Here is a 10,363-nt window from a genome sequence, read left to right on the forward strand (position 1 = left end):
ATTTCCTTCTGTCAGCCAATTCATTTTGTCTTCGACTGTGGCTGGCATGACTTTCAGAGCTAAAATATAGCTCAAATACTTTATATTAACTTAGTTATTTGGTATACTTGTTGTAGGAGACCCCCTGAAACTATTGCTACAGAATAAAAGATGAAATGCTCCTGATTATTGTAAATATAAAGTTGCATGCAGGATTGTGTAAAGACAATGCCAGGTTGGACTGCCAGAACAAGCCAACAGCATGTGATGTGCTTCCCCCTGCAGAGAGCCTATGAATGGATGTGCAGTCAGGGAGGTTTCACATCACCAAGATTCCTATCCCAGAAAAGCAGATGTTCATAGCTCTGGGAATGGAATGTGATCCTTGTGGAGAGCCTATAAACGGATGCATGGTGGGGGGTGCCTGTCCATATGGATAAGATAGGGCTATAAACACCCTCATCTTGCCATGGCTCTTCTAGGGTTAAAGCATACTCCTTTCTGAGAATTTCTGGTCTAACTGGTTGTCTAACTTCATGTCCTGTTTCTATGGATTGTTTGTAACCAGCTTTTGCTGCAACTGTTACTGCTGATTAATATCTTGCTAATCATAGGTTATGGAAAGACTGTGTTTCTGTTTTAAGGCTCTGTTAGAAATTACTGATGCACACACTATATTGTAAATTCTTATCTCTGTGTACTGTACTTCTGCATACAGATGTTATGTTAAAGAATTACTTCATCCCTATGTGACCATCTCACCTCATAATCAAATGACCCTAAATCCCTCACTAACCTACCCCTGCCCTCACTAAACTTAATAATAAATGCTGGTATATCCAGTGCATTGTTGGCACCACGGGACCAGAAGGCGGTGACCCCCCGGACCCAGCTTTCACTATCTTGTGTGTGTCTATTATTTGTCAACCTGCCGATCCGCCTGGGAACAAAGAGAGAGCCCCGTTGCATTGCAGGCTGCTGGCCAGATCCCACAATAACTCATGTTCTCTCAGTTTAGCTTTTTGTAAATATTTCAGCATTTACAAACATTTATTAGCCTCTCACACTTTATAAGACTGCTTTTATCCTTTATAAATCCAAAAATGTAAATAGATGATCATCTCATTATTTTGAAATGGTAAGTTGAGAATTAATTGAGGGAGTAGCCATGGGCAGAAGGGAGACTTATACTCTTCCCAAAAGTACCAGAAACTACCCTACTGCATTTTAGCGAATATACCTTAGAGATCTAGACATTTAGAGACATCATTTGATTACTTCATTTATTTTTGTAACAATTGTTCACATGAACTTACTTTCTATGGTCTATCATCTTTTTGATTTCTGTAGTTATTCTTGGACTGAGACAAGTGAGATTCTAAAATCACATGCCTAATTGGACTTTTCAATGTCACTGCCAACAGTTATCTAGTATTTTTTCTTAGTTTTTTTCATATACAGCTTTTTGCCATTATTTCCATTTATCAAGTTTTAGGGAATAGGGATCTCAATGTTTGCAAAGAAAACAAACATTGTTTTAGAATTTTTATTTCTAAAGAAGGCTTTATTTTGGTTCAGACATCTGAAAATAAGTAGAAATCTAGTGAAATATGTTGCATTGACTCATTCATTTGACAATTTTGAGAATCTATATGAGTAAAGCATTGTTCTAGGTGTTGGTGATACAGTAGTAAATTAGAAAAATCAAAGTCTTTACCATCAAAGAACTTGCAGTCTCATGGTGGAAAGAAAATAAATATCTAGATAAATAGATAAATACTTTCTAATAAGAATAAATGCTAAAGAGAAAAATAGCAGGGTAATGAGGTGGACAGCAATGTAGAAAGCTAGTGGAAACGTTAGAATCTTTTGCTAAGGGAATTTGGAAAAGCATCTCAGATAATGTAATATATGAACTCAGAGTTGAAATACGAGGGAGCTTCAAGACATTTATTGAAAATTTGAATAAAGTATAAAAAATAAAAATAAAAACTTTATTTTTCAACATAAGCTCCATCAAGTTCATGACAGTTGTGTAGGTGATGATATCTGCCATTAAATAACTGGGGGTCCTGGGAGTTTAACCATGTCAATATAGTCTTTTTTTCCATTAATAACTGAAGGAAACAGGTGCCATTTAAAGATTTTTAAAGATGAGATAACAAAATGAAGTCAGAAAATGCCAAATCAAGACTGTAAGGTGGATGCCTAATGATTTCCCATTGAAACTCTCATAAAGTTGTCCCTGTTTGGTAAGAGGAATGAGCAGGAACATAGTTGTGGTCAAGAAGGACTCTCTGGTGAAGCTTTCCTGGGCATTTTTCTGCTAAAGTTCTGGCTAACTTTCTCAAAAACACTTGTAATATGCAGATGTTATAGTCCTTTGGCCCTCCAGAAGGAAAAGAAGCAAAATGCCTTGAGCATCCAAAAAAACTGCTGCCATAATCTTTGCTCTTCAATAGCTTACTTTTGCTAAGGGTGGGACACTCCCACCTTTCGGTAACCATTGCTTTGATTGTGCTTTGTCTTCAGGAGTGTATTGGTAAAGTCATGTTTCATCTCTGGTAACAGTTCTTCAAAGAAATATGTCAGGACCTTGATCCCACTTGTTTAAAATTTCCATTGAAAGCTCCATTCTTGTCTGCAGCTAATCTTGTGTGCAATGGTTTTGGCGTTCATTGACTGGAAAGTGTGTTCAACCTTAATTTTTCAGTCAGAATTGTATATGCTGAAGCACTTGAACTGTCTATGGTGTTAGCTATTGTTTCTGCTCTTAAACATTGGTCCTCTTAATTTAGGGCCTGAATAAGATTTTTTTTCTCACAAATTTATATGCATGATCTGCTGCAACAGATTTCACCTTTACCATCATCTCATTCCTTCTAGAAGATGAATTATCCATTTGTAAACTGATAATTTCTTTGGGAGTATTATCCCTATAAACTTTTATTAAAGCATCATTGACTTTAGCATTCTTCCCCATAAGCTTCACCACAAATTTGATATTTGTTCTTGCTTCCGTTTTAGCAGAATTCATGTTGCTCTGATAGAGGACCTTGTCCAACTAATGCCATATCTTTGTTAGTGCTTCAAGCTAGATTCTGATCAGACTTGATATAACAAGTTAGTATGAATTTATTTTGGAGCAAAAATAGTTTGAAATACATGCAGAAATTTTTACATTTAATTTAATTTAATTTAAAGTTCTGGTATACATATGCAGGACATGTAGGTTTGTTATAGGTAAACATATGCCGAGGTAGTTTGCTGAACTTATCAACCCATCACCTAGGTATTAAGTCCCGCATGCATTAGCTATTTTTCCTGATGCTCTCCCTACCCCAATACCCTCCAACAGGCCCCACTGCATATTGTTCTTCTGACTGTGTCCATGTGTTCTTATTGTTCAGCTTCCACTTATAAGTGAGAACACACTGTATTTGTTTTTCTGTTCCAGTGTTCCTTTGTTGAGGATAATGGTTTCCAGCTTCACCTATGTTCTTGCAAAGGACATGATCTTGTTTCTTTTTATGACTGCATAGTATTCCACGATGTATATGTATGATGTTTTCTTTATCCAGTCTATCATTGATGGACATTTGAGTTGATTCCATGTCTTCGCTATTGTGAACAGTGCTGTAACGAACATACTTGTGCATGTATCTTTACAATAGAATGATATATATTCCTTTGGGTATATACCCAGCAATGGGATTGCTGGGTCAAATGATGTTTCTGGTTCTAGTTCTTTGAGGAATATCCACACTGTCTTCCACAATGGTTGAACTAAAAGATGGACTAAAGACTTAAATGTAAAACCCAAAACTATAAAAACTCTAGAAGAAAATGTAGGCAATACTATTCAAGACATAGTCATGGGCAAAGATTTTATGACAAAAAATATTGAAAGCAATTGCTTTTGATATTTTATATCAAATAACAAAACCAAAAATTGACATATGTGATCTAATTAAACTAAAGAGCTCCTGCACAGCAAAAGAAACTATCATCAGAGTGAACAGACAACCTACAGAATGGGAGAAAATTTTTGCAATCTATCCATCTGACAAAGGTCTAATATCCATAATCTACAAGGAACTGAAACAAACTTACAGGAAAAAAAACAACCCCATTAAAAAGTGGGTAAAAGACATGTACAGATACTTCTGAAAAGAAAACTTCTTTGTGGCCAATAAACATATGAAAAAATCTCAACATCACTGATTATTAGAGAAATGGAAATCAAAACCACAATGAGATACCATCTCACGCCAGTTAGAATGGAGAGTACTAAAAAGTAAAGCAACAACAGATGCTGGCAAGGCTGTGGAGAAATAGGAACACTTTTATGCTGTTGGTGGGAATGTAAATTAGTTAAACCATGTGGAAGACAGTGTGGCGATTCCTCATAATTTTTTATAATACACATTTTTCATGAACTTTTTGAAGACCATTAGTATATAACATTAAATACTTGTATATAATTATATGTTCATTCATTGAACAAATAGTTATTAAACTCTTTCTATTGTCAGACACTGTAGAAAAACAAAAGTGAACAAAACACACATGTTCTGTGGGAGTTTATAATTAGTGTGAGATATCAACAAATAATAGATGATAATGAAAAACAGTCTAAATAATGTATTTTATCAACTAAAGTGTGATCATGCCAGAAAAGTATATAATAATGGTAACTTGCCAAGTCATAGAAATGATAATGGAGCTGAAATATGAAGGACAGGTAGGAATTATTTAGAAGCAGAATGGGTAGAAGAAAATTCCAGGCAGAGGAAACAGCATGTGCAAAGGCCTTACATTGGATGAAAGAATGACATACTTGAGAAATCAAAATAAAAGTTATGGTTAATAAGAGAGGGAAATAAATTTCTTGATATAATATGGGGCTGGAGAGGTAGATTGGGTTCATACCATGCAGGGCCTTATAGCAATGTTAAGAATTTTATTCTGTATTCCAAAAACAACTGAGTTCTATCAAAGATTTTAAGGCAAAAGAGTGACAGTTTTACAGGTATTTCTGGAAAGAAAAGTCTAGCTTCTGTAAGAAGAATTGGGTATGGAAAAGTAGATGTGGAGATGCTATTCCAGAAAGTTATTACTATAGTTTTGATCAAGATAATGGTGTCTTGATATTTGATGGCTACAATGGTGGTAGAGATATGGAGAAAAGGCCCATTTCAGTGATATGTGGGAGACAAAATCCACAGAACTAATTGACAGGTTGAGAATGGAAGTGAGAGAAAGGGATTTCTAGGATAATTTCTACATTTCTAGCTTCTCAGTTTAATTGTTGGCAGTGTCATTTGCTAAGATAAAAAATGCTTTTGGATGTGTTTAATTTTATATATGAGTATATTATGTTCATGTATTTATAGAATGCTGTTTGTGATACAGGTATCAACCAAGCATTCCTAACTGCGACCAGTGAAAATACTGCCCCAATGAAGTTGTTCCAAGAAAGTGCTTATGCCATGTGAAACTCCTGCTGTCAAGTCCCTCCTAATCTCATATCTCACAGTGCTTTTATACAAGCTTATATAAGATCTTATACAGAGCTTAGACCAAGATAGTCCCAAATTTGGCTATTTATTTAGCACTTACTCCATGCCACAAAATATTTTAATAATTTTATATGAATTACCCCATACAGTACTCTTATCGATCCAGTGAGAATATTTGTTATACTGTCATAGTTATAGCAAAAATGTATTTTTTCTTATATATAACATCATTGTCAGTTTTCTGTTATCACATTGCTATAAAGAACTACATGAGGCTGGTTAATTTATACAGAAAAGAGGTTTAATTGACTCACAGTTCTGCAGGCTGTACAGGAACCATGGCTGGGGAGGCCTCAGGAAAGGAAGCAAGCACATCTTACCATGACAGGAGAAGGAGGAAGAGAGAGAAGGGGGAGGTGCTACACACTTATAAACAACTAGATCTCATGGGGACACACTCACTATTACAACAACAGCAAGGGGGAAGTCCACCTCCATGAGCCAATCACCTCCCACCTGACCCCTCCTCTGACACTGGGGATTACAATTCAACATAAGATTTGGGTGGAAACACAAATACAAACCATATCACCAATTGATACCTGAGAGCAATTTGATAATAACTTATATGAATGTAAAGTCTGATAACACAAAGTGTTGGTTAAATATAGGGAAACAAGGCATTCTATATATTGCCTGTGGGTGTAAATCTGTATAAACCCTTTGAACAATGTATTTATATAAAACAATATTAACTTCTTTCTTCAAATTATCAATCTTTTAAGACGACCATAGTCATTAGTGAACAGGATTTCTTTAATCTTATTAGGAATAATGTATTTTGTTTTAATTTTTTTTATTATACTTTAAGTTCTAGGGTAAAAGTGCACAACTTGCAGGTTTGTTACATATGTATACATGTGCCATGTTGGTGTGCTGCACCCATTAACTCGTCATTTAGCATTAGGTATATCTCCTAATGCTATTGCTCCCCCCTCCCCCCAGCCTATGACAGGCCCCAGTGTGTGATATTCCCCTTCCTGTGTCCAAGTGTTCCCATTTTTCAATTCCCACCTATGAGTGAGAACATGTGGTGTTTGGTTTTTTGTCCTTGCGATAGTTTGCTGAGAATGATGGTTTCCAACTTCATCCATGTCCCTACAAAGGACATGAACTCATCATTTTTTCTGGCTGCATAGTATTTCATGGTGTATATGTGCCACATTTTCTTAATCCAGTCTATCATTGTTGGATGAAACTTCTTTAAAACAATTATTTTGAATTCTTTGTCAGGCAATACACAGATCTCCATGCCTTTAGAATTGATTACTGGAGATTTATTTTGTTCCTTTGGTAGTTTCATATTTCCTTGATTCTTCTTCAAATTCCTGATAGATATGCATTAGTATCTGTACAGTTGAAGAACCAGCCACATCTTCCAGTCCTTATGAAGTTGCTTCAACAGGAAAACATGTCATCAGCTACAGATTCCGGGTGTCTCTCAAATATTTTCAATGGATATGTATTCTTCACATCTCTCCCTCCTTGGGAAGGAGGCAGTCTCAGGATTGTGCACCTTCTCCCAATCTTTCAGAACCATGCTTAGTGCTAAAAGCCACCCAACCCACTTTCCTAGGTCAGTTTACTGAGATGCTAGGTCTTTAGTTGAAAGTTCCCATTCCTTTTTTCCCTTCTGAAGCAGACATCTCAGGATTTTGTGCCTTCTTCCAGTTCTGCTGAGCTGATCTGACTGCTGAGATATCAGTTGAGAGGTATGGCATCTACTTATAGCAACACTTCAGCTGTGATAGCTGTTGAGATGCATGCCATCTGCTGAAATCTGTGTCAGCTTCTGGGATCTGTGTCAGCTGCTGAAAGGTACATGGTAAGTTGATAACTGTGCCATCTGCTGAAATCCATGCTGTCTGGCAAAATCTGCACTGGCTGCTGAGAACCACACAGTCCACTGGGATCCATGGCAAATTCTGAGAGCTGTGCTATCTACCAGGATGTTCACTGTCAGCTGAGAACTGCAACAGATGTTCGGATCCATGCCATCTGCTGAGTCTGCATCAACTGCTGAGATCTGTGTTAGCTCCTCATAACTGGGACATCATCTGAGAGTATTACCATATTCTGAGAACTGCACCAGCTGCTGAGAGCCACACTGGCTGTTGATATCTATACCATCAGCTGATAGCTATGTTGGTTGCTGATAATTGTACTGTTTGCTGAGGTTCATGCTGTCTGCTAATATCCATGTCCTTTACTGAGATCTACACTAGCTGTTGAAATATGTGCCATAGGCTGAGCTGCACCACTTTCTGAGAAATACTCCCTCTTTGCTCTTAGCTTCCCTGACTCATTCCAATTATGCTGGGTTCCCTCAGTGTTGTAGGTAAGGTGAGATAGAAGCAGTCCTTTTGAGTAGGAATCCATATATCTAGGGATGCTGGATGCATATTTTTCTCTCTAGTTCCCTCAATTCCATGGAAGAAATCACAGGCCAAGGTGATCTCTCTCTACATGGAGCTGTGCCAGATTGGGGTAGGGCATGGTATGGGCAAAGTGGAACTGTTCCTCTTGTCTGTTTCAATGTGGCTGTTCTTAGTCTTTGGCTTCTCTGGGATGCTACAACTTCTTAACTGGATTCTCATGAATGTATTTTTGTCTATACATGCTTATTAAATTGGTGTTTCTCTGAGGGGATCATTGCTGGGACATTCTATTTTTTTATCTTGTTGATATCACTCAATATTTGATTACAGTACACAAATTTCCTTAGTCGATAGTCCAAGGATTATTTTATGACTTTCTTATGAATACAAGTTCAAGAGCCTGGAGAATGCTTTTTCCTGCTCGGTTCTCATTTTCCTTATTTTCACATTTTAAAGGAATGGTAGAATTTATACTACTAGACATCTCATGACTAATTAAATGGGTTAACAATATATAGGAAAAGTTAGCTGAGATGTTCCGGCTTCAACAACTCAAATTTGTACAGTATTATTTTCTGTTGGATTGTACAAATTATTCCAAGCTTTAGTACATTAAATTCTCATATTAAAAACTACCAAATTTACATAGACAACTCTTTCATTATGCCCCTTAATATCTGAGGGATGTTCAGTCACAGCCTCTATTTGTGTGTTTTCACACTGCTATAAGACACTGGTCAAGAATGGGTAATTTATAATGGAAAGAGGTTGAATTGACTCACAGATCAGCATAGCTGGGGAAACTTCAGGAAACTTTTGATCATTCCAGAAGGCAAAGGGAAAGCAAGGCACCTTTCTCACAAGGCATCAGGAAGGAGAAGGAATGCAGGAGGAACTACTAAACATTTATAAAACCATCAGATCTCATGATAACTCACTCATTATCATGAGAATGGCATGAGGGAAAACCGCCTCCATGATTCAATTACCTCCACCTAGTCTCTCCCTTGACACGTGGGGATTATGGGGATTACAATTCAAGATGTGATTTTGGGTGCTGATACAGCCAATCCATATCGCCACCCAAAATAGAAACAAAACAATGCTATTACACAATCCCAAATGCAAAGGATACCAGAAACTGGTATAAAGTATTTCTTTACCTTTACCTTTGTATCAGTTTTGCATATCTGCAAAAAAATTTATCACATGCTTAGTGACTTAAAACTACACCTATTTATTATCTCACAATTCTATAAGCCACAAACCCAGGCATTTTTGACTGAATTATCTTTCTAAGGACATCACAAGACTGAAATTAAGGTGTCCACTAGGCTGTAGTCTTATATGGAGGGTCTGCGAAAATATTTGCTTATAAGCTCATCCATACTGTTGGCAAAAATCCAGAATAAGTTTCTTGGTTTATTGCTGGCTATCAGCCAGCAATTTTTCTCAGCTTCCAGTGGCCATACTCAGGTCCTGTGCTGTGGCCTACTTAAGAACAGAGTTCACAAAGTCATGGTAAATTTTTCTCACACTTGGAATTGCTTTGACTCCCTTTTTTGCCAACAGCTAGAAACAACTTTTTAGAAGGGCTTGTGTGATTACATTAGGCCTATTAAATAAGCTTTCTGATTAATAAGCGATCTGGAAAATCCTTTTTGCTGTGTGTATTAGTCCATTTTTATACTGCCATGAAGAAATACCCAAGACTGTAATTTATAAAGAAAAAGAGGTTTAACGAACTCATAGTTTCACATAGCTGGGGAGGGTTCAAAATCATGGTAGAAGGCAAAGAAGAAGCAAAGTCACCTCTTACATGGCAGCAGGCAAGAGAGTGTGTGCAGGGGAACTGCCCTTTATAAAACCATCAGATTTCTCGAGACTTATCCTCTATCATGAGAACAGCACAGGAAAAACCTGCCCCCATGATTCAATTACCTCACACTGGGTCCCCCTCATGACACATGGAGATTATGAGAGCTACAATTCAAGATGAGATTTGGGTTGGAACACAGCCAAATCATATCACCATGTAATGCAACAGAATCACTAGAGTAATTCCAGAGGTCAAACGCCACAGGGATCAGCTTAGAATTATCTGTACCACATACATATAAATGTTGAGCCTTAGATCCATGCCTAAGGGTCCCTTTTATCTGATACCCTCTTGGTATATTTTGTCTTGTATACCCCTATCCATAATAGGCATTGTTCATTTATGCAGCAAGGCTCATCCTTGCAACAATGAATGATGTTAAGAACATGGAAGCCATGAATTCTACCTCTATTCTGTAGTAGACTATGAAGTCAGTAGTAGACTATGAAGACCATGGTATTCTTTCTTAGAAGCAGGAGTAGATCTTTCAAGACTCTTCAGAGTAGAGCATGCTTAAAACAAACTACCCTTGCTATTGGCAATAC

This window comes from Homo sapiens, chromosome X, assembly GCF_000001405.40.
Source record: "Homo sapiens chromosome X, GRCh38.p14 Primary Assembly".
Lineage (NCBI taxonomy): Eukaryota > Metazoa > Chordata > Mammalia > Primates > Hominidae > Homo > Homo sapiens.